This window comes from Homo sapiens, chromosome 2 (assembly GCF_000001405.40).
Source record: "Homo sapiens chromosome 2, GRCh38.p14 Primary Assembly".
In the NCBI taxonomy this organism is placed as follows: Eukaryota; Metazoa; Chordata; class Mammalia; order Primates; family Hominidae; genus Homo; species Homo sapiens.
Genome location: NC_000002.12, coordinates 150,234,267 through 150,257,037, shown reverse-complemented (window position 1 = coordinate 150,257,037; position 22,771 = coordinate 150,234,267). Strand labels below are relative to the sequence as shown.

At 37.9% G+C, this 22,771-nt stretch overlaps 2 long non-coding RNA genes across 3 annotated transcripts in view; one reads left to right on the top strand and one right to left on the bottom strand.

Moving 5' to 3' along the window:
• Positions 1-22,771, bottom strand: part of LINC01818 (long intergenic non-protein coding RNA 1818) — a 186,703-nt gene that overhangs the window by 99,154 nt on the left and 64,778 nt on the right. The window lies entirely within an intron of this gene.
• Positions 31-22,146, top strand: LINC01817 (long intergenic non-protein coding RNA 1817). Its single transcript, NR_146972.1, has 3 exons — positions 31-179; positions 11,351-11,455; positions 21,837-22,146. It is a non-coding gene; the product is annotated as a long intergenic non-protein coding RNA 1817 (long non-coding RNA).

The window sequence follows — 22,771 nt, the reverse complement described above, 5'->3', positions numbered from 1 at the left end:
ATTTCTCCCTCAGTTTTATTTTTGTCTTTCAGCTCTATGCTAACTTGCGTGAGACATCTGTGCACAATCCATCCAGCTGTGATTAAATTCCTGGTTTCAGTGTTTGTGTGTGTGTGTTTCAATTCAAAAATTAAAGGCAAATTCCTGTGGAAAGAGATACTTGGAAAACGTCTGCAAATGTAAGTAGTTCCCAATGGGAAAAACTTTACAATCATACTTTTAATTAGGGTCCCAAATGTTCAGTGACTCTAAGAGCACACTAGTAAATATTATTTTTACAATCTGATTAAATACTTGACTCGCATGAATAGGCCTAATTCTTTCTCATATTTCAAAGGGAGAGGGGCCTGAAGGGTGTTCTTATAAATGAAATGAATTTTACTTGTCCTACTTGCTGTGTTGAGCTACCTTGCAATACTGAGAAGAAGGATCAGTAGAATAGCAAAGCTTTTATAATATTCCTGAAAATTAGGGCAACCCACCAGCTATCTGCATCTAGGATACAAATTGGTTTAACAGTGTAATAGGAGTCACTGAGGCAGATTCCCTCCCCTCTTCCCCCATACCACATCTGAATGGGCTCATAGTGATGAACAAGGAGGAGAGAGACAACTATGCATTCTCCCATCTGAACCCAAAGAAAGGTCTGGGAAGGGTCTCGGTTTTGCTGTGGACTAGGTTATATTTGATTATCTTTTTTCATAAAGAGCATTTCATTTTACCAAGTTTGCTGCTTGTGACCTTGTTTACTGCGAGTTAAATAACTGGATTTAAATATGTTCCAAGGTTTATCTTGGTGCACTTCTTGTTCACAAAGCCAAAGCACATCTTAGGAGCAAAACAGCATTGTGGCCAAGTCTCCCCAATAAAAATGCATAAAGGTTTATCATAGCGACTGAGTAAATAACTGGGGCCAAAGACCCAGACTTTCAGTGCTAATTTTAAGTGCTTTAGACATATTTTTCCTCACAAACAAGTAACAGTTATTCCAGTATATATTTTCCGGGATTAAACCTGTGAATGGGCTTAACTATTTCCTCTCAACTGGCTGCTCTATTGCCACTTAAAAATCTAACAAGTTTTTCCAATGCCACTTTCAGTATTACAATTACCAGCTGGATCTTTGGCTGAAGCTTCAGCTGCATGCTTACTTTAAATAGGGATATCTATCAAACCTGACCCTTGGTGTAAGCATGTTCCTTTCTTAGGAAAAGTCCCAAGGCCTTTGGCCCCATGCATACTTGTGTAATTGCTGTCTGTAATGTGGAATGGGATGAGATATTGAATGGCATGCTGCCCATCATTCTGTTATGGAATACCACTGTGAGTAATGTACTGGTGTCTCTTACATCCAACAGCTTTGCATTTGGAGCCCAATAATATTTATTCAAGTGTTGGACTGGCTGAACCATTGATACTTAGAGTCCAGTTCCATTGGTATTAAATAAACAGTGAAAGATATCAGCAATAGGAAAGGGAAAATAAAGAGTGGGAACTATTTTTCAAAATAAAAAGAAAGGAAAAGAAAAAATGTTGTTAATGAAAGGCCTGCTTTTCAGATGACACTTTTTTTTTCAAACCTATTTGCAAACTACCATGTCTGTTAATAGTTCTCAGATTGTATTTTTCTATTAGGTTCATATTTGATGAACCTGTAGGTTTTGACAATAAGTTGCTATAAGTAACTTCAGTAGAATTATAAGTAACTTTTCAGTAGAATTGTATCAGATTTGTATTTTAACTTCCAAGTACTTTGGGTCTGAGAAAGAATATATGATTTGAGATTTTTTTCGTAAAGATCTATGGAAATAGATAAGGAAAATGTTGGCTCTGATAATTATAGATTCTGGTGGTGAGTGGAAAAGATAGGTCTGGCTCTGAGCTAGCGAGTGGTGGCATCTTGCTTCTGCACAGGCCCTGGCTATATGAGTCTGAGCAGGGCTTACAGTTCCCTGTGCTTCAGTTCACATATATGCAAAATGGCAATAACAACTGTACCTACTAAAGAGTGTGTTTGTGAAGGTCAAAATAATTGATACAGGTTGGGCGTGGTGGCTCTCGCCTGTAATCCCAGCACTTTGGGAGGCCGAGGTGGGCGGATCACGAGGTCAGGAGATCCAGACCATCCTGGCTAACACGATGAAACCCCATCTCTACTAAAAATATAAAAATTAGCCGGGTGTGGTGTCACGTGCCTCTAATCCTAGCTACTCGGGAGGCTGAGGCAGGAGAATCACTTGAACCTGGGAGGCGCAGGTTGCTGTGAGCCAAGATCATGCCACTGCACTCCAGCCTGGGCGACAGAGTGAGACTCCGTCTCAAAAAAATAAAAATTAAAAAATAAATTGATACATTAAAATGTTTAATATAGCATCTGGCATATACTAAATGCTTAATAAATATCAGCTATTGTCATTGCCATTTGAAGGTATGAAATGTGAAGACTCTCTCACCTTGAGAGTAACCTGTGCTGAGCTGGCTGTACTTGCAGGACTCCATAGACTAAGAAACAAAAGAAGGTGAGAGGGGAAAAAAGTTGGTAGCAGAAATAGAAAGCAGTAGAAAGTAGAATGGAGACCACATCTTAGGCACCAAAGTAAAATAACTCATTTAGGCAAATACCCTAATAAGTAAGCTCAATGTATTTCTTCATTTTAAATTAAGAATTCATTGAACTTTAAGTGAAGGTATAGGCATCCCTGCTTTAAATACTTGCACTGGGATGTAGACATATAGGAGGAAGGCAGGCTAGGAGTGTCCCAGTGTATTAATTTTGTATTTCATTTCTGATCTAGGGGCATAGAATAGATCACCAGAAGGATCTTATAAAAGGAATAAAATATTTTTCTGTAAAATAACTCAGTGATGAAGCCATCGACTATATCTTCCTGTACCAAACTGACACTGGGCTTGAGATTTTAAAATAAAATTACAGAAACATTGATAATCTAAAGACTGGATAACATACAGATAATAAGTTGAATTGTAAGCATAACAGAGACTATCCTCTTGTCTCTATTTCTTTCCCTTGACTACTCCTTTGGAGTTTCCTCTACTAACTCCGTCACCCTCTATTCCCTTATATGCAGCTCTTCCAGGGAGTTCCTGACCCTTTTATGTCTATATAATCTATTTAATTTACACTCACGGCTTCATTAGCAATAACTTCTCTCCTAAAATCCAGATACAAATTAACAATTCAGATCTGATGAATCCAGACCTTCTTTATAGCAGCAATGGTACTCATCTTCATTAAGTCTAACATCCAAATCCACTAGCTTTCCCTACAAATTAGAGCCTTTGTCTGAATTCCCTGTTTCTGGAAACGACAAACAGGGTGGTTGCCTTAGGAACTCAATGTAACCCTTGATGCTTTATTTTTCTTCCCTTTCTTCAACCAATCCATTGCCAAAGTCAATAAAATTTTCCTCCACTATATCTTGTCCCTCACCCCTCTTTTCCATTCAAATGTCATCAATTCTAATATATGCCTTTATGGATTCATTTGCATAGCTTTCCCTCCTGGACAAACTGCAAATGAGAGCACTGATAAGACATATGATTCAGTTTTGAAAGCTTCTTAATCTATTTTCTTGTTGCCCATCTTATCATTATCAAATTCATATTCTTGTGGTAGTTGCAAGAACTGCCATATTCATAGCAGATACCATCCTATTCCTCCTTTGTTCAAAACCCTTAAACTGTTCATTGTTTATTTTAGATGTCCCCAACATTTTACCATATCACACATGGGATATTACGTCTTCATTCCAGTGATATAGTCCTGTGTGCTATTACAGGAATGACACTATAACTCCTTCCCTTTCTTTTCCATTCAAGGAAACATAGCAAAACACAAATCAGGGGCGGGACTGCCAGTGGACCCTTTCCCAGGGAAACAACAATTTAACTTGTGAAAGTTATTTAAAAAAAACATGAAAAGTGTCTATAAATAGTCCCAAGGAAAAACAGGAAATAAAGAAACATTTATTCAAGAAAATCTAGTGAACCTGAGAACAGCAAGAGTCCATGATATTTCAGTCAGAATTCACTCCATTAACCTCTACTATCCCCCATCTGTGTGTTAGGGAAACTTTAAGCCAGAAGCCCTACTGTCACATAGGTGTGGTCAGGGAGACAGTGGTACTCCCTTCCCCAGCCTCCTAGTCTGAAGCTATAGTTTCACTGTGGGAAGGGCAGACTGCTGACATTTCTCTTCCCCATTCTCTCCAACTCTCCCTTGCAGAAGCTCTCTTCCAGGCAGGAACAGCCAAGGGGACCAGGCTTCTCTAGTTTCACCCAGCCCTGACTTGTAGGATGGCTGGCAGGCTTTCAGGCATGGCAGACTGAGAATACTAAGCTCCTGATTGCCACAGCCCCAGTTCTTTCGTAGGGCAGAGGTTCCATGCCTGGAGGGGCTGCCACCCCTTCCCATGCCTACTCACAGAGCAAGAGTGTCATTATCAGAAAGCGGTCCCCATTCCTAGCTCTAGCAAATTGATGTAGGATTTCTTTTCGGGAGAAAAGCAAGCCATAAAGGCAAAGAGTTTCACAGCTCTGCCGATAGAGACTGACTTCATTTGGGAAAAAGAGAGACGAATTCCATTGTATGTTCATTGTCTAAAATAATGGAGATTATTGTTGAAAAAATTAAAAGAGCAGTAGATCTGATAAAGGCAAAATGGCAGAACAGCCAAAAGTTTAACAGTGGGAACGAGAGACAATCAAGGTGAACTTCCCTGTGATTATAGACAGTTCCACAGGTTAGAAGGGCTGTGTGTAAGTGCTGGGTTGCACCCATTTGGGGGCAATCAGAGCAGGACATGGAGCTGACTTGAAAGCATTTCCAAATCTACCCAAGTCACAGACAGACCCATCAACACAGGGAAGAAGCTTCACACAACTTCTGGCAAAAACTGACTGAACAATAAGCTACTCTGACCCAGGGTAACTCCTAGAAAGGTAGGCTTAAAAATGCTATCACAGACTCTAATAATGCCATCTATGAAGAAACCACAGCTAACATTATATTTAACTGAGAAAAACTGAATGCTTTCCCTATAAGATTAGGAACAAGTTAAGGATATACATTTTTGGTACTTCTATTTACAGGGCAATTAGGAAATACATACATACATAAATGGCACCCAGATTGGAAAGGAAGAAGCAAAACTATGCTATTTACAGATGACATAAAACACTAAGAAATCCACAAAAAACTGTTAGAGTTAATAAATGAGTTTTGCAGAGTTGCACTATACAAGACCAATATACAAAAATTAATTGTATTTCTATATTTTTGCAATAGTATTCTGAAAATAAAATTAAGAAAACAATTCTATTTAAAGTAGCATCAAAAATAAGATACTTAGGTGTAAATTTGATAAAAGAAGCACAAGACTTGAAACTGAAAAATCATAAAACATTATTGAAAAAGGTAAAGTCTAAATAAATGAAAAGGCACCCTGTGTTCATGGATCAGAAGACTTAATATTGATAAGATGGCAATACTTTCCAAATCTACAGCATCAATGCAATTCCTATTGATAGCCCAATTGGCTTCTTTTGTTGAAAAAGACAAACTGATCTTAAAATTAATGTACATATACAAGGAACCCAGAATAGACAAAATAATCTCAGAAAAGAGCAAAGTTGGAGGACTCACATTTCTAAGTTTTTAAACTTACTCCAAGGCTTACAGTAATCAACACAGTATATTACAGGCATAAGGATAGACATATATATCAATAGAAAATAATTGAGATTCTAGAAATTAAGCACATTTATGGTCATTTGATTTCCAGAAGGGTGCCAAGACAATTAAATGCATAGGGGAAGGGTGTAGAGAATATTCTTTCCAACAACTATCCCTGGGACAACTGGATATCTACAAACAAAAGAATAAATTTGGACACAACTCACCCATTTGCAAAAATTAACTCTAAATGGACAATGATCTCAAACATAGAGGCTAAAACCATAAATCCACATAGAAGAAAACATAGGCATAATTCATCATGACCTTGGGTTAGATTAGTTAGTTGATGATTTCTTAGTCACATCATCAAAAGAACAAGCAAAAAAAATGTGAGACTACCAAAAGTTAAAATCTTTTGCATTGCAAATATGACCATCAAGAAAGACTACCAATAGAATGTGAGAAAATATTTGCAAATTATATATTTGATCAGGCACTTGTATCCAGAATATATAAAGAACTGTTTTTGTTTTGTTTTGTTTTGTTTTTGAAATGGAGTCTCACTGTGTCGCCCAGGCTGTAGTGCAGTGGCCGGATCTTGGCTCACTGCAAGCTCTGCCTCCCGGGTTCACACCATTCTCCTGCCTCAGCCTCCAGAGTAGCTGGGACTAAAGGCGCCAGCTACCACACCCGGCTAATTGTTTTTTTTTTTTTGTATTTTCAGTAGAGACGGGGTTTCACTGTGTTAGCCAGGATGGTCTCGATCTCCTGACCTCGTGATCTGCCTGCCTCGGCCTCCCAAAGTGCTGGGATTACAGGCATGAGCCACCGCACCCGGCCTATAAAGAACTGTTAAACTCAATAATAAAAAGATGACTATCCAATTTTTAAATAGGCAAATATTTTGAATAGCTGTTTCTCCAAAGATATTCAAATGGCTAATAAACATATGACACAATGCTCAGTAACCTTAGTCATTAGAAAAATAAAAATCAAAACAATGAGTTACCAATTCACATTTCCCATGTTAGGTATAACCAAGAGGACAAATAACAGTAGTCCCTTGGTATTCATGGGGGATTGGTTCCAGGGCCCTCCAACAGACACAAAATCCAAGAATGATCAGGTCCCATATATAAACTGGCATAGTATTTGCATCTAACCTATACACATCATCCTGTATACTTTAAATAATCTCTAGATTACCTATAATTGCTACTACAATGCCTATAAATCATTTCATTCACATTGATTCAACGTAGTACTAGTTGTTCAGCAAATTCAAGTTTTGCTTTTTTTGAACTTTGTGCAATAATTTTCTCAAATATTTTCCCTTTTACTTTTCTTTCTTTCTTCCTTTCCCTTTCTTTCTTTTCTTTCTTTCTTTCTTTCCTTCTTTCTTTCTTTCTTTTTTTTTCTTTCCCTTCCTTTCTCTCTCTCTCTCTCCTTCCTTCCTTCCTCTCTCTCTCTTTCTCCTTCCTTCCTTCCTTCTTTCTTTTCTTTTTTCTTTTCTTCTCTTCTCTTCTCTTCTCTTCTCTTCTCTTCTCTTCTCTTCTCTTCTCTTCTCTTCTCTTCTCTTCTCTTCTCTTCTCTTTTCTTTTGTTTTCTTTTCTTTCTTCTTTCACAGAATCTCGCTCTGTCACCCAGGCTAGCCTCCACCTCCAGGTTCAAGCAATTCTCATGCCTCAGCCTCCTGAGTAGCTGGGACTACAGGCATGTGTCACCACACCTGGATACTTGTTTTTTGTATTTTTAGTAGAGATGGGGTTTCCCTCTGTTGGCCAGTCTGGTCTGGAACTCCTGACCTCAGGTGATCTGCCCGCCTCAGCCTCCCAAAGTGCTGGGATTACAGGCGTGAGCCACTATCCCTGGCCCCCAAATATTTTCAATCTGTGGTCAGTTGAATTAACAAATATAAACCTCCTGGATACAGAGGCTGATGGGAATCATGAGTGATGATGAGACTGCAGAGAAATCAGAACCCCTGTACATTGGGGGTGATTGTAAAATGGTGTAGACCTTTTGAAAAACAGTTTGGCAGTTCCTCAAACTTTAAACATAGAGATACCATATGTCCCAGAAATCCCACTTCTAAGGTATATACCCAAGAGAAATAAAAACATACAAAAACTTGGCTGGGTGCAGTGTCTCACGCCTGTAATCCCAATACTTTGGGAGGCGGAAGCAGATAGATCACAAGGTCAAGAGATCCAGAATATCCTGGCCAACATGGTGAAACCTGGTCTCTACTAAAAATACAAAACTTAGCTGGGTGTGGTGGCACGTGCCTGTAGTCCCAGCTACTTGGGAGGCTGAGGCAGGAGGACCACTTAAACCCAGGAAGCAGAGGTTGCAGTTAGCCAAGATCGCTCCACAGCACTCCAGCCTGGTGACAGTGAGACTCTGTCTCAAAAAAACAAAAACAAAAACTTATTCATAGCAACATTATTCATAATAGACAAAAGGGTAAACAACCCATATGTCTTATTAACTGATAAATGAATAAATGAAATGTTGTATATTCATATAATGAAATATTGGAAATAAAAAGAAAGGAAGTATTGGTAAATACTACAACATGAAAACATTATGCTAAGGAAAAACAGCCAGTCACAAAAATACTATATAGATATAGTATGATGTCATTTATATGAAATGTGCAGAAAAACCAAGTTTATATAGATAGGAAACAGATTAGTGGTAGCTTATGGTTGAGGAGGTAAGGTAGGGGAAATGGGAATTGACTGCTAATGAGTATTTTTTAGGAGTGACAAAATGTCCTAAAATTAGATTGTGATGATAGTTTTATAACCTTATGAATATACTAAAAAACATTAAATTGTGCCTTTTAAATGAGAGAATTTTAAATTTTACCATTTAGATCTCACTAAAGCTTTTAAAAAATGCTAATTAGACCAAATAGAATTATTAAATGTATAACTTTTTAATCTGCTCTAATCTTTTAAAAATATAAATTAAAACTTTCTCAAACACTTGAAATTTAGAATTTCTAATAATTTGTGAATTTATTCTCTTGAATTTTCTAGAACAGTGCTGTGCAATAAAAATATAATTTGAGTCAGTATGCAATTTTAAATTTTTAGTAAACATTTTTAAAAGTAAAAAGAAACAGGTTAAGTTTAGCAATCTATATTATTTAACCTTATCTATCTGAAATATTACTTCTATTCTGAATATAAACATTTTTAATGAGATATTTTGCATTTTTTTCAAATATATCTTTAAAAATATTTCACCTGTGTTTTACACTTATGACACATCTCAACTCCAACTAGCCATACTTCAAATGCTCAGTAGCTACATGAAGTCAGTGGCTACCATATTAGACTTGCAAGTTCTAGATGGATTTTAATAAAATATAACAGTAATAGTTATTGTATGATCATTTTCTAATCTTCAAACCACTCTTCTTTTTCTTATCTTATTGCATGGACTAGGGCCTCCACTAAAATGTTGGATAATAGCGGGGAGAACAGATTTCCCCAGCATTGTTTCTTTCTTTAATGAGTATGGTTCTTATGTTTCATGTTGAGCTTAAACTGATGAAGTTACTTGTGATCTGCTTAATGGCCAATTTTGACATAGTACTGAGTATTATTGTCTACCTAATTATTGTCTAAACTCCATTTCCTTAGGGTGAGTTATTTCCTGTGATGTCTCTATTGTAAGCAGCCACTTACTCAGTACTCCAGATAGCTCTAGGAAAACCTAAGATGGTTTAGCCCTGGTTCAGGCTGAGAGTCCTTCTACACAAACACATGAAAACCTTCACTATATGCTAAATCAATAACCTAGTACTTTAAGCAATTCTCTTTTTTAAAAAGGGAAATTTAATGAACAAAACACAGGGATATTTGAACTGATGTACTTTATGACCTTTGGAAAAACAAAACAACACACACACAAATTAAATTATCGTATTTGGAAAAATTAAATTAATTCTGAGAATAATTAAATGAATCCCCAGAGCCTTATTTATTTTTAGGCAGTTAAACAATTAAAAGAATATGTTTACTTTCCTGAAATTGTCTCAGTGGGAAAGGAAAGACTATTAAATGACAACTCTCTACGTAGATTCATAGCTGTTAAACATAATTAGTTTTAATGTTTACTGCACATTGTTTCTATTTGTGATATGGAAAGAGAAAAATATGTTAAACAAAAATGTTTTACATGTACATATATGTATATGTGTATATATATTGGTGTATTTATTGGTATATAAATTGCAATATATGTATGCATATATATATTGGTCTATACATATAAAAATCTTTGTTTAACATATTTTTTATCTTTCCATATAATGTATAGAAATAATGGACAGTAAATATTAAAAATAATTATTTTTAACAGCTGTGAATCTTCATAGATAGTTGCCATTTGTCAGTTATTCCTAACGTTGTAAGAAAATACGATTATTAGGAAATAAATTTATTGTTTATTATGGTTATTAGGTTGTAAGTTTATGCTGTGGTTTGAATATTAATTGTTTTTCTCCACCAAAATTCATGTTGAAATTTGATCCCCGATGTGTCAGCGTTTAAAGGTGGGACCTAGTGGGTGGTGTTTGGGTTATGGGGGTAGGTTCCTCATAAATGGCTTGGTGCTGTTCTTGTAGTAGTGAGTTCTCACTTTCCTAAGACTGGATTTGTTCGCCTAGGAATGGATTAGTTCCCTCAAAAATGGGTTGTTATAAAGCCAGAATGCTCCTCAGCTTTTCCTCCTCTTTGCATGTCTCCTCCTTTTTTTTTTTTTTTTTTGACCTTCTCTGCTATGTTGTAATGCAGCATGAATGCCCTCACCAGAAGACAGATCCTTGACCTTGATCTTCTCAGCATATAGAACTACGGGCTAAACAAACCCCTATTCTTCCTAAATTACCCAGTCTTAGATATTCTTTTATAGGAATAAAAATGGATTAAGACAGTTTATAAGATGAAAAATATACAATCTTTGTATTTACAAATTACTAGGGCTTTAATTTAATTAATTTATTTTTTTTGAGACTGAGTCTCACTCTGTCACCCAAGCTGGAGTGCAATGGCACGATCTCTGCTCACTGCAACCTCTGCCTACCGAGTTCAAGCTATTCTTCTGCCTCAGGCTCCCAAGTAGCTGGGATTACAAGCGTGTGCCATCACACCTGGTTAATTTTTGTATTTTTAGTAGAGATGGGGTTTCACCATGTTAGCCAGGCCAGACTTGAACTCCTGACCACAGGTGATCCTCCTGCCTCAGCCTCCCAAAGTGCTAGGATTAGAGGCATGAGCTACTGCACCCAGCCAGGGCTTTAATTTTACATCTCTTTACCTTATAACTCAAACCCATATTAAATGTTTTCTGTACATATTAAGGGCTCTGTAGGCTCTATGACCAAAAATAAGAGAAAAGCAAAATTTGTTTCATATATTCAGAAAAAATATAATAGACAAGGACAATATTTCACATTTTCCTTTGCAAGGAACTGCATCCACATTTCATCCAAATTGTCTTTTCTAATCCATTCAGTATTTTTGTTTCATACCTGCTTTGGGATACAGGTTTAATACATATAAAAATTATTCTATTGGCTTCTGCTTGCAGGAAGATAAAATTAACATAATTCTCCTATTTCTCCACTAAATACAGCTAAAAACGCTGGACATTTTATATGAAACAAGCATAAGAAGACTCCAAAAGGTAGAGACAAGGCAGAATTGCTGGGGAACTTGAGACCAAAGGAACAACACATTAGTAAGTTCTCCAGGCATGCTTTCTGATTCACGTATCCTTAAATTGAAGCTGAAGAAGTCAGTAACCTGGAAATGTTTTTCAATAAAATTGACAAACTTGTAGCAAGATTGATGATATAATTAGGACATTTGTGCCCTTCAAATCTCATGTTGAAATTCAATCCCAAGGGTTGGAGGTGGGACCTAGTGGGAGATGTGTGAGTCATGAGGGCAGACCCCTCCTGAATGGGTTGGTGCAATGATTATGGTAATGGGTTCTCACTCTATTAGTTCACATGAGACCTGATTGTTACAAAGAGCATGGCCATTCCTCCTCTCTTCTTTTCGCTCCCTTTCTCACCATGTGACATGCCTGCTTTCTTTCCTCTTTTGCCATAATGGAAAACTCCCTGAGGCTCTCACTAGAAGCAGATGCTGGTGCTTTACTTCTTGTACAGCCTGCAAAACCATGAGCCAAATAAACCTCTTTTCTTTATAAATTACTTAGCCTTAGGTATCCCTTTACAGCAATGCAAAACAAACTAAGAAAAGTGACAAAGAATAAAAGAGAGAAGATAAAAATTACCAATGCCAGAAATAAAACAGGGAATATCCTTATAGTCTCTCCAGACATTAAAAGGATAATAGGGGAAAACAGTGAACATCTCTATACACATATGTTTGACAACTTCAACAAAATGGACTAAACCTTCAAAAAACACACAAACTATCAGCAATTCACCCAACAGGAAAGATATCTATATCTATATCTATATCTATATCTATATCTATATCTATATCTATATCTTTTTGAGACGAAGTCTCACTCTGTTGCCCAGGCTGGAGTGCAGTGGCACAATCTTGGCTCACTGCAACCTCCACCTCCTGGGTTGAAGCAATTCTCCTGCCTCAGCCTCCCGACAGCTGGGACTACAGGCACACATGGCCACATCTGGCTAATTTTTTGTGTTTTTAGTAGAGATGGGGTTTCACTGTGTTGCCCAGGTTGGTCTCGAACTCCTGAGCTCAGGCAATCTGCCTGCCTCGGCCTCCCAAAGTGCTAGGATTACAGGCATGAGCCACCATGCCCAACCAAAAGAGATAATTTAAATATAACTTTACTATTAAAGTAATTGAATTCATAATTGTAGAACTCCCCAAAAGAAATCTGCAGGCCCAGATAATTTCACCAGAAAATACCCATAATTGTTTAAAGAAAAATTAACACCAATTCAACTCAAAGTCTTTTATAAAGTGTGATGAGTGATCACTTCAACAATTTATTTTATGAAGTTATCATTACCCTGTTGCCAAAAATCAGAGAAAATCAGTTTAAAGAAAGAAACAAACAAATGAAATGACAATTTAATATCCCTAATAAATATAGATGCAAAAATTCTTAAAATATTAGAGATAGAATTCAGCAATATATAAAAAGAATTATAAACCATGACTACATGAGATTTATTCTAGGAATTAAAGCCTGGTTCAATATTTAAAAATCAATCAATGTAATCTACCATGTCAATAGGTTAAAGAAGAAAAATTACATGACTATATTAATCAATGCAGAAAAAATTTAATAAAACTTAATAGCCATTCAAGATAAAATCTATCAGAAAAATAGGAGTAGAGGAGAATTTCTAAAGTTGATAAAAGACATCTGCAAACATCTTACAGGTGACATATGCTTAATGGTACACACATACACATACACACACCCCTCCCAGAACTAGTAAGTTTGATCAGCAAGGTCTTAGGACACATGGTAAACATACAAAACTCATCTGTATTTCTCAATACTAGATGTAAACATGTGGGTGCAATCGAATTAAAAATACGCTTCCACTTGCAATCACTCAAGAAAATAATGGAATACTTAGGTGCAAATCTAATAAAACAAACATATATAGGACTTATATGATGAAAACTACAAAATTCTGATGAAAGAAATCAAAGAATATCTAAATAAATCAAGAGATGTACCATGTTTATGGATTGAAAAACTCAACCAAATGCGAGCAAGGACACAGAGAAACTGAGTTACTGATGCATTGCTTCTGGGAATGTAAAATGGCACAACTGCCCTGAAAAGTCATAATTTCTTTAAAAATTAAACATGCAACTACAGTATGACCCACATTTTTTTCTCCTGGACATTAATATGAGATAAATGAAAATCTGTGTTCACACAAAAACTCACATGTTAATGTGTATAACAGCTTTATTCACAGTAGCCCCAAACTGGAACAACCTGGTGTCCTGCAGTGAGTTAACAGTTAAATGGAATCATACTCAGCACTAAAAAGCAACAGACAAATGATTTACACAACAACCTGAATGAATCTTCAGAGAATTATGATGAGTATATATTTACCTAATGGTATCTCTGTATACCATTTATATAACATTCTTGAAATGATAAAGTTAGAGAAATGGAGAACAGATTAGTGTTTCCAGGGGTTAAGGAGGAGCTGCAGGTGAGAGAGAAGTAGGTGTGGCTGCAAAAGGGCCACATGAGCGATCCCTGTGGTGACAGAAATGTTATGTATCTTGCTTATAAATATCAATATCGTGGCTATGATACTGAATTTATAGTTTTGCAAAATGTTACCACTGGTCGAACTTGAGTAAAAGGTATGCAGGATCTCTCTGTATTATTTCTTTTTCTTTTTTTTTTTTTTTTTGAGACGGAGTCTCGCTCTTTCACCCAGGCTGGACTGCAGCAGCGCTATCTGGGCTCACTGCAAGCTCCGCCTCCCGGGTTCAGGCCATTCTCCTGCCTCAGCCTCCCGAATAGCTGGGACTACAGGCACCTGCCACCGCGCCCCGCTAATTTTTTGTACTTTTAGTAGAGACGGGGTTTCACCGTGTTAGCCAGGATGGTCTCGATCTCCTGACGTCGTGATCCGCCCGTCTTGGCTTCCCAAAGAGCTGGGATTACAGGCGTGAGCCACCGCACCTGGCCTCTGTATTATTTCTTACAGCTACATGTGAATCTACAATTATCTCAAAATAAAAAGTCTATTTAAATTTTAAATATATTCCATCGAATATAGGTACCTAATCAGAAGCCTATAGACTATGAATAAAACTGTAACTTTCATTAGTTGGGGATTCTAATAATCATAATTGAGGAAGACTGAGAAGTTTTTAAAAACAAAAAGTTGTAAGGAAAATAAATAAAATGTCTTACAGGATAGATTAAGCAGCACAACTCTTTTTATCTCTGTCACTTGGGTTGAGGAAATCTCAGGTTGATGCACTCTAGAACCTTGAAATTTTAATTCTCTGAGACTTCAAGGTTTTGTAGAAGTGACCCATTCTTCTTTAAGGTAGACTGGTGGCAAGGGGTACCAGCTTTAGAAACACAATTATGGCTATCTCTACGGCTATAGTCCAGGGCTGACAATAAGAGATGCTGTTACAGAGCTGGGCTCTCTAGCAGCAATGAGATGACAGAAACACAAATAATTGAGGCCAGGTGATGACACCTTAGCATCAGAAGGAAAGTGATCACAATTATCAAAATAAATAGCAAGGTCAGAATGACAGTCTTGGGACCTGACCCACAGAGAGTATGGAGATGGTTAATTGAACATTGAAGTCCAAGGGCAAAATAGATCAGTGGCCAACAAGGGTACTGTTTATTCTTTGTTGTAATAAGAAGAAATCAAGAATGGATAATCAGAAGGCTGAGACCAGCCAGCCCAAGAAAAAGTCATAAATCCTTTGCTTAATTTCCAGGCCTGAACCAATTATAATATTTAAATTCCACTGACTGAGGGAGAGGCTAAGTATAGATGAAGAAAGGCTTTGCAATACCAAGGCAAGTATGGATTGAAAGGATTTCCCAGTTCTTATAAAGCTATTTACAGTAGTCACCCCTTATCTGCAGTTTTGATTTCCAGTTTCATTTACCTGTGGTTAACCAAGATTTGAAAATATTACATGGAAAATTCCAGAAGTGAATAATTCATAAGTTTTAAATTGCACCCTATTCTAACCAGTGCGCATCATCTTTTTGTCTAGTGTATTCACTCTGCTTATATTACCTGCCCATTAATCACTTAGCAGTCATCTTGGTTACTAGATAGACTGTTGCAGTATGGCAGTGCTTATGTTTAAGTAACCCTTATTTTACACAATAATGGCCCCAAAGCACAAGAGTAGTGATGATATCATATTGTTATAATAGTTCTATTTTATTATTAGTTATTGTTGTTAATTTCTTAATTCACCTTATTTATAAATTAAACTTTATCATAGTTATTTATGTATAGAAAAAAAGTATAGTATAGATGATCCAGACTAATGATCTTTCAACTTATGATTTTTTGAATTTATAATGGTGCCAAACATCACAATTTTGACATACAGTATTCATGAGATTTTTGACTGTACAGTGGCGCTAAACCATCACAATGTTGACATAATGTACAATAGTCAATAAATTACATGAGATATTAAGTACTTTATTATAAAATAGGCTTTGTGTTAGATGATCTTGCCCAATTGTAGGCTGATGTACGTGTTCTGAGAATGTTTAATGCTAGAATAACCTATGATGTTTGGTAGGTTAGGTGTATTAAATGCATTTTTCACTTACAATATTTTCAACTTACAATGGATTTACTGGGATGTAATTGTACTGTAAGTTGAGGGGCATCTATATATATAGGCATTGGTACTATCCATAGTTCCAGACATCCACTGGGGGTCTTACAATGTATCCCCCACTACTGTACTCAGATAGTCACATACTGGAGTAAGAAAAATACTAAAATATTTTGAGGATAGTTGGATACTAGGTCCAAATCGGCACTGATACTGAGGAACCCAAAGTGTTATTGTGGCCACTGTTACTGTTGGGACCTGCAGTAGCCAGATAATAAATGGAATCCTGTCATAAGATAAAAATGAGATGGATCTGCTGGATCCATGGACATAACTTTAAACACTTCTCTTGTCCCAAAATGCAGAGTTGGAAACAACATACTTGTAATGGTACAACTCGGGAAGACTAAGTGGAGGCCCTATAATTGCCCCTATCTCAACCAAAATAATAAATAATTAAATCCAAAATAATACAATATCCCTGGAACATTAGGTAATAATTAGTGTCACCCATAAAAATGTAAAGGATATGGCCGGGCGCGGTGGCTCACGCCTGTAATCCCAGCACTTTGGGAGGCCGAGGCGGGCGGATCACGAGGTCAGGAGATCGAGACCATCCTGGCTAACACGGTGAAACCCCGTCTCTACTAAAAATACAAAAAATTAGCCGGGCGTGGTAGCGGGCGCCTGTAGTCCCAGCTACTCGGGAGGCTGAGGCAGGAGAATGGCGTGAACCTGGGAGGCGGAGCTTGCAGTGAGCCGAGATCGCGCCACTGCACTCCAGCCTGGGCGATGGAGCGAGACTCCGTCTCAAAAAAAAAAAAAAAAAAAATGTAAAGGATATAACCTTGATCGTCACCATCATGTCCCCATATAATTCAGTATTCTGGCCTCTCCAAAAAAAAAAAAAAAAAAAAAAAAACCAACAAAAAACAACAGTAGGGTACTGGAAGATGACTTATAGATGGTTATAAACTTAAACAAGTAGTGGCCTTGATTGGAACTGATGTGACAAGTATGGTACCTTTGCTGAAACAGAGGGCAAGGGCACTGTAAATGGCCATTGATCTGATGAATGCATCATTTTCCACCCATATCAGCAAAAAGAATTAAAAGTAGTTTATATTCACATGTCTAGAGGTACCAGAACAAGGTCATATTGGTCCATATAATTTTAATCAGCCAGCGTGATCATGAAGTTGTAGGCTCCTGCAGGACTTGGTAAAATACATGGTGCTCTAGACAGTAAGAGGTAATTCCTCCAAATATTCACTGAAGATTTTAGGAGTTTGGTGGTCTGGGACATAGTAGGATATTTCCTCCAAAGTAAAGGACAAAGTAATACATTTCGAAACACCCAATAACACACATAAAAAGGCATAATACAATGGAACAGCACTGTATTCACTCTTGGGAATGCTGCTGTGACCCATTTACAGAGTGACATAGAAAACTAGCAGATTTCATTGGGATCCAGATGCAGAAAGAGCTCTGTTTCTGTGATGCAAGCAGCCCTGTCATTTGCTCCCTATGACCCATCTGGTGTCTGTGTGGGAAGATATGCTGTATAGGGTTTATGGCAAGCATCCCTAAGTCTCTGGACCAAGGCCATGCCATCTAAAGCCCAGAAATATTCACCATTTTAAAATCAGGTCCTGGTAGCATCTTGTCATGGGGCATCAAATGGCCACACTGGCAGAACTATATATCATGATTTGGCTTCTGCCAGATTCACCAAGTCATAAGAAGTGGGGCCAGACACACTTCATCGTAAGACAGAGTGGTTCACTCAGGAGTAGACATGAGCAGGTCCAAAGTAAGCTGCATAAGTAGGTGCCACAGAATTCCAGGTCATCTACCATCATTGCACTACCTCCTCACCCTCAGGTCATGCTATGGCCATGCTGAGTGTCCCATGTGAGTAGCTCATGAAGGAGGAAAATGGTTGAGCTTGGTTTAAAGATAGTTCAGCCCAGTGAGTGAAAGCTGAAAAGGAACTCTTCCTAAGCCACAGTCCTACTCAGGGAGGGCCTTGAAAGGTGGCAATAAGCAGAAACCCTCAGAATAAATAGTTTTCAGTGGTAGATATTGTCATGCACTTTGTGTAGAACAGAAGTGGCCTTAGGTAAAGAAAATATATGGCTACATAGTCCAGGTCCTGGAAGGAAGAAGGTTAGAAGCTCAGAGAGTAGGAGGTCTGGGATAGAATCCTGCAGATGGATTTATAGGTGTGAGCATGGAGTATAAATACCTTGGTATCACATGTTAACACTTATCAAAGAGCACATGTTAAATAAGGGGCCATGAACCAGTAAGTAGATGAAATGGCCCAGTGACCTGATGTCAGCTAGCCTCTCCTGTCCTGGCACAATAAGCTTGTGAATGTAGTAGCCAGGGTAGCAGGAATGGAAGCTACACATAAAGCCAAAAGTAAGAGTTCCCACTGACCAGGGACCATCCAGCCTTTGCCTCTGCCTATTATCTAACCTGTCAACAATAAGAACCAATGCCGAACCCCCATTATGGCACCATCCATCAAGTTCAATCAGCTACTTGTGGCAAGTTCATTACATTGAACTCCTTCCACTCTGACGGAGGGCAGCAGTTTATCTTCACTGAGATTAACACTTATCTGCCTTTCATGCCCACAGGATCTTTTTCAGCACCTCTACTCAGGCACTTAGAGATTGATCCACTGACACTGGTTTCTTCATAATATTACCTCAAAACAAAGGACCCATTCTACAGTAAAAGAAATACAGAAATGGGCATAAGACTATGGAATCCACTGGTCCTATCACACTGGTCCTGCATCACCCAGAAGTTGCCAGCTTGACATGGCATGAAAACACCTTTTGAAGATGCACCTAGAGTGCCAACCAGAATATGTACCTTGAATGTTTGGTGTCCTTCAGGACAGCATATACACTCTAAATCAATGACCATTTTATGGTACTGTGCCCCTAATAGATAGAAAATATGGGCTTGGGAACCTAGGAGTAAAAGTATAAGCAGCCTTGTTTATCATCATTCCCATGGTACCCATGTGAGGGACTGGTGTGTCCTGTACCTAAAACTTTAATCTCTTTTGGGTCTGGATTTCCTTGTTCCCAGAGGGGAAATGCTTCCACCATGGTATACTTATACTACAAAGAGAAATCCACTAATTGGTGAATGTTTCCAAATTTTTAAATGACTGTTCAAGGCTATGAATTTTATCCACTCATTGTTCTCCAGATTCCAAAATATGTAAAAGCTACTAACCGTAGTGAACATTAGTGAAAACAATTCTGAAAATTCCTCACTTTAGTATCTAAGTTCTAAGAAAAGATTCTAGCATCTCATAGATTATCAGTATCGGATGAATGAATGAATAAATGAATGAATGAATAATTTGCAATAAATGTGAAGTGGGTGAAAAACACAAATACAGAGTGTGTGACAGTCTTGGAATGTCGAACTTCTATTGGAACTAAAAATACAGATTGCTACTCTATGGTCATAAAAAATACATTTACTTTAGTGAAAAAAGGCAGAAATCGCAAATGAGATGTTGGCTTAAAAATGCACAATTCACTGGACTAGCTCAGGTGCTCTGTTGTCATTCTTATCAGCAGTACTAACAGTGTTACTACTAACTAGTATTAGCAGCAATATAATTAACATTGATATTTTAGCGCTAATGCTGGATTTTTATGGTATTCAACTTAATAAAAAATCTGTAAATAGAAAAAATACATAATTAATTAAATGTCCTCATTCATGTCATAAAAATATAAAGAAATAAAGTAGTTGTTACAGGTATCACCATTATAAATTGACATTTTGGAATACTATAAGATGCAAAAACAAAGACAAAAAGTAGAAACTGGACTGGTCATGGTGGCTCACGCCTGTAATCCCAGCACTTTGCACTTTGGGAGGCCGAGGTGGGTGGATCACAAGGTCAGGAGTTCAAGACCAGCCTGATCATCATGGTGAAACCACGTCTCTACTCAGAATACAAAAATTAGCCAGGCGTGGTGGTGCACACCTGTAATGTCAGCTACTTGGGAGGCTGAGGCAGGAGAATTGCTTGAACCCAGGAGGCAGAGGCAGAGGTGGAGGTTGCAGCGAGCCGAGATCATGCCACTGCACTCCAGCCTGGGTGACAGAGCAAGACTCCATCTCAAAAAAAAAAGGAACCTTCATAGTGTATATGACTACCACTCAGGCTTTAGTCAATACAGTGCTCATGATGTAGAAATTGTAAGATATGTCTTTCTCTTTTCATATCATTGCAGACAAGGCTTACCATTTGTTTTCTTCTAAAAGGTATAACGTTAAACTAAGTATTTGTTATCACTGTCGGGACCTTTAATTAAAATTTTATATTTTTCAAATTTCTGGTAAAAACCTGAATAAAAAGATAAAAATGTAATTTTTACTAGTTATCCTTTATATCCCACCACACCATACCTATCTATTAGTGTTTATTTATTTAATAAACACTTAAGTAGCACCTACTAATTGCCAGGTGATAAATATCCCAAGCACTTTACCAAAATTAACTCTTGTAACTCTCATAGCATTATATGGATAACTTTCCCCACTTTACGAAAAGAAAACTGGAATACAAACAGATTTAAGTGCCCAAGGTCACAAAGTAGCAAGTGGGAGGTGGGATATGAACACAGGCAGTCTCCCAAGTCCATGCTCTTTAAGACTACGCTGAGTTTCCTCTCTAAGTATCTGATTCCAAGGTAAACTTGAATAAATTATATAAGTATTTAAGTGGATGATAACTAATTTCATGTTGTTCTCCCTTCTAAACATCCATTATTTTAACTAGCTCTGTCAATACACTCAATGGGGATTCAACTTCCTATCATACGGATGGCATATCTGCCGGTGGGAGGAGAGGACAAGAAGTTTGGGGAGGGGAAGGAGAGCAAGTGAGCGAGTGAGTGCTTTGTTCTGAGCACTTCTCAACGCATATCCAGACCCCATTCTTATTAGAAAATCGAAACAAATACTACCATTTCTTGAGGATATATCCCTAGAGTCATGCTCACCTTTTACACTCATGGTTGTGGTTTTTTTTGGGGTGGGGGACGGGGACAGAGTCTTGCTCTGTCACCAAGGCTGGAGTGTGGTAGCGCAATAATGGCTCACCACAGCCTAAATCTCCTGAGCTCAAGTGATCCTCCAACCTCAGCCTCCCAAGTAGCTAGGATTTCAGTCATGCACCACCCTGCCTGGCTAATTTTTGTATTTTTTGTAAAGATGAGGTTTCTGCAGGTTGCTCAGGCTGGTCTCAATTCCTGGACTCAAATGATCCTTGGCCTCCCAAAGTGCTGGGATTCCAGGCATGAGCCACCACACCTGGCCTTATGCTCATGTTTATTACCTCTTAATTCTCACAGCTTTGTAAGAGTTAGTTCTCTGTTCCCTAAAACAAGTCCCCCATTTTATAACGGAGATAATTGAGGCTGAGAGAGCATCAGTGACTCTCTAAAGTCATCCAGGTGTGTCTGACTTCAAAACAGCTCTGTCCTCCTGTGCTAGCTACCATCTATGCTGCTGAGGAAATTGATTTCACTGCAGTTTATTACTGTCTCCTCATGGCTCAGCCTGACTTTTGTTGGAGTCATGCTTTGGTTTGGGTTTCTCTTTTGCTCTGTGGTTTTGGCACAGTCCCTAAATATGCCTTATTTATTCCATCCATATGGCAGTTTTCATTTGATGGCACACAGTTTGCAGTCTTAGAGGATGGCTCACATTTGCATTTTGCGTTACTCTCATAGGTCAGTCTGATATCCACCACCCAGTTCTCCAGGTGGAAGAATAATCAAAGAGCCTTGGGGGAAAGAGGGATTCTCATGGTTGAAGATGATGAAGATGTGAAGGCTGGATTTGATAATGAAGAGTCTTCTTTGTGTTCTCTCATTATTTATGCCACATCTGCCTCTCAGCATTTGTGTCAATGAGTCACTGTAATTACAGCCGTTGGATAATTTCCTCCGTTTTACAACACAAACCCGACTGTGTGAGTGCTCCATCAGAGAAAAACATTTATTTCCTTGCAGCACCATCAGGCAGCAAGGTCCAGCTTTCTTGAGACGTGGTTATTAGCCAAGTCAGAACAAATGGCTTCTGTTCTTACTCACGCTAACTGAAAGTGAGACTTGAGGAGCTTAGCTGATTACGGAGACACAAAGGATCAGAATTCTTTTTTCTATATAAAAGCCAGAATTTTGACTGAGGATCTTGCTTAAAAAATGATTTATGGAAAAATGAACTATGCTGACCCTGAAATGGAGGGGTGGGGGTAAACTGGGGAGAATCACGCTTCACTGTTTCTGTTCACTAGTACCCCTACCCCAAAACAAATAAGTAGCTCCTACCATCAACAAGATGTTATAAGGCAAAAATATCTGGTTTAATTAAATACAAAAAGAATTCTTGAAAGTTGTATGTATGATAGAACCTAGGTGTTTTCAGTCCCTGCATCCTGTTGCTTGTTCATAGACTAGTTCCCAAGATGAATTAAAAATACTGGGTCTGGAGCAGAAACTCTTCTCTGCCATAAGAGAGAACTAATCTTGTAATTCTACCACATTGCAGGAGGAGAAAAGAGACCTTATATGTTATGATAATCTTTTTCGATTAATGCTGTGGGTGTTCATGACTGAAGAGCCATTCATCATTCTATTTGTGACTTACTAGGTGAATCGTGAGA